This window comes from Homo sapiens, chromosome 15 (assembly GCF_000001405.40).
Source record: "Homo sapiens chromosome 15, GRCh38.p14 Primary Assembly".
In the NCBI taxonomy this organism is placed as follows: domain Eukaryota; kingdom Metazoa; phylum Chordata; class Mammalia; order Primates; family Hominidae; genus Homo; species Homo sapiens.
This window is the reverse complement of record NC_000015.10, coordinates 51,028,438-51,031,776: the sequence shown is the minus strand read 5'-3', so window position 1 is coordinate 51,031,776 and position 3,339 is coordinate 51,028,438. Positions and strand designations below refer to the sequence as shown.

The following is a 3,339-nucleotide window of genomic DNA, read 5'->3' as shown; positions in this document are numbered from 1 at the left end:
CGGGGGGAGGGATAGCACTGGGAGATATACCTAATGCTAGATGACAAGTTGGTGGGTGCAGCGCACCAGCATGGCACATGTATACATATGTAACTAACCTGCACAATGTGCACATGTACCCTAAAACTTAAAGTATAATGATAATAATTTAAAAAAAAGAAAAAAAAAAAGGAAAGAAGCACTGAAGAAGATAGGACAGACAGTCTTGAATTGCTGACATCACCCCTCTCCCTCCCCCCAGCACTGGCCACGTGGCATGGAGAGAGAATATGTGTGCTTTGGGGAGAGGGACTGCAGTGATTGTGGGACTTTGCATTGGAACTCAGCACTGCCCTGTCACAGTGGAAAGAAACCTAGGACAGAATTTGGCCAGCACCTATGAAGGAACATTTAGGCCAGCCTTAGACAGAGGGGAATCATCCATTCCAGTGGTTGGAACCTGAGTTCCAGCTAGCCCCCCCACCACAGGCTAAAGCACTCCGGGGTCCTAAATAAACATGAAAGTCAGTCTAGGCCACAAGGATTGCAATTCCTGGGCAAGTCCTGGTACTGTTCTGGGCTCAGAACAAGTGGACTTGGGGTACACACAACTCAGTGAGACACTAGATGGGGCAGCCAAAGAAATGCTTAAATCACCCTTTTCCCATTCCAAGACAATGTAGCTTACAGGCCCAGGAGAGACTTCTTCCTTTTGCTTGAGGAAAGGAGAGAGGAGACTAAAGAGGACTGTCTTGCAACTTGGATACCAGCTAATCCACAGTAGAAGAGGTCACCAGGCAGTCGTGAGGCCTCCATTCCAGGCCCTAACTCCCAGATGACATTTCTAGACATACGCTAGGCCAGAAGAGAAACTGTTGTTGCCTTGAAGTAAAGGACCCAGTCCTAGCAGGATTCGTCACCTGATGACTAAAGAGCTGCTGAGCCTTGAATAAACATCAGCAGTACTTGGATGAGACCCAGGGCTTTGCTGGCTTCAGATGTGACCCAGCATATTCCCAACTTTGGTGGCCACAGGGAGAGGCTCCTTCTGCTTGAGGAAAGGACAGGAAAGAGTAAAGGGGACGTTGTCATAGAGCTTAGGCATCAGCTCAGCCGCAGTAGCATACAGCACTAAGCAGGCTCCTGGGGTTCCCAATTCCAGGCCTTGGCTTCTGGATGGCATTTCTGGATCCACCCTCAGCCAGAGGTGAGCCCACTGCCCTGAAGGGAGAGACCCAGACCTGGCAGCATTCACCACAAGCTGACTGAAGAGCATGTGAGCCTTGAGTGAACACTGGCACTAACCAGGCAGTACTCGCAGTGGCCCTGGGGCAATGGTGGCCATGAGAAGACACTCCTGCATAAGAAAAGGAGAAGGAAGAGTGGAAAGGACTTTATCTTGCAGCTTGGATGCCAGCATAACTACAGTAGAATAGAGTACCAAGTAGAATCCTAAGGTTCTGAACTCCAAGCTCTGGCTCCCAGATGGCATTTATGAACCTGCCCTGGGCCAGAGGTGGGAGCTCGCTGCCATGAACAGGATACAAGCCTGGCTGGATTTACCACCTGCTGACTAAAGAGCCCTTGGGCCTTCAGTGAACATCAGCAGTAGCCAGGCAGTGGTCTCTGCAGGTCAGGCAAGACTCAATGCTATGCTGGCTTTGGCTCTGACACAGTGCAGGGCCAGTGGTGGTGGCCACAGGGGTGTTTGTGTCACCCCTCAACCAGCTCCACGTAGCCCAGCATGGACAGAGAGAGATACTCTGTTTGGGGGAAAATAAAGGAAGAGAAAAAGTGTCTCTGCCTAGTAATCCAGAGAATTCTCCCAGATCTTTCCCAAGACCACCAAGATGGTACCTCTATAAGTGTGCAAGAATCACAATGTTATCAGGCCTGGGGTGCCCCATAACACAGATAATAAAGACTTTCCCAGACAAACAGAATCTGAGGGATTTAAACACCAGTGACCAAATATTTAGATTATAATACTCGATTCCTTTTGAATACTTAGAAAGCCTTCCCAAGAAGGATGGGTACAAACAAGCTCAGACAGTGAAGACTATAATAAATACCTAACTCTTCAATGTCTAAACACTGATGAACATCCACAAGCATCAAGACCATCCAGGAAAACATGAACTTACCAAACAAACTAAATAAGGTACCAGTGACCAATCCTGGAGTGACAGAGAGATGTGATCTTTCAGACAAAGCATTCAAAAATCATGAGGAAACTCAATGAAATTTAAGATAACTCAGAGAAGGAATTAAGAATCCTATTAGATAAATTCAACAAAGAGATTGAAATAATTTTTAAAAATCAAGCTGAATTTCTGCAGCTGAAAAATGCAACTGAGATACTGAAGACATACAGAGTATCTTAACAGCAGAACTGATCAAGCAGAAGAAAGAATTAGTGAGCTTGAAGACTGGCTATTTGAAAATACACAGTCAGAGGAGACAAAAGAAGAAAGAATGAAGCATGCCTACAAGATCTGAAAAAAAATAGCCTCAAAGGGGCAAATCTAAGGATTATTGGCCTTATAGAGGAGGTAGAGAGAAAAATTAGGGTAGAGATAATAACAGACAACTTTCCAAAACTAGAGAAAGATATCAATATTCAAGTACAAGAAGGATATAGAACACAAAACATCTTTAACTCAAATTAGACTACCCCCAAAGCATTAACAATCAAACTCCCAAAGGTCAAGGATAAATAAAGGATCCTAAAAGCAGCAAGAGAAAGGAAACAAATAACATACAAAGGAGCTCCAGTACAACTAGCAGCAGACTTCTCAATAGAAACCTTACAGGCCAGGAGAGAGTGGCATGACATATTTAAAGTGCTGAAGGAAAAAAAAAATTATCCTAGAATAGTATATCAAGCAAAAGTGTCCTTCAAACCAAAAGGAGAAATGAAGACTTTCCCAGACAAACAGAAGCTGAGGGATTTAAACACCAGACCTGTCCTACAAGAAATGCTAAAGGGAGCTCTTCAATCTGAAAGAAAAGGATGTTCGGGCAGATCACAAGGTCAAGAGATTGAGACCATCCTGGCCAACATGGTGAAACCCCGTCTCTATTAAAAATACAAAAATTAGCTGGGCGTGGTGGTGCACGCCTGTAGTCCCAGCTACTCGGGAAGCTGAGGCAGAATCACTTGAACCTGGGAGGTGGAGGTTGCAGTGAGCCGAGATCGCACCACTGCACTCCGGCCTGGGCGACAGAGCGAGACTCCATCTCAAAAAAAAAAAAAAAAAAAAGAAAAAAACAGAAAAAAAGAAATCATCTGAAGGCACAAAACTCACTGGTAATAGTAAGTAAACAGAGAAACACAGAATATTATAACTGAAATTGTGG

General features: G+C 44.8%; 1 annotated feature.

Annotated features, from left to right (window-relative positions):
• Window positions 639–839: a silencer, noted in NCBI's record as "peak2335 fragment used in MPRA reporter construct". NCBI's record gives its function as "represses an SCP1 promoter by STARR-seq MPRAs in K562 erythroleukemia cells {active_cell/tissue: K562}" and the evidence as "EXISTENCE:reporter gene assay evidence [ECO:0000049][PMID:32103011]".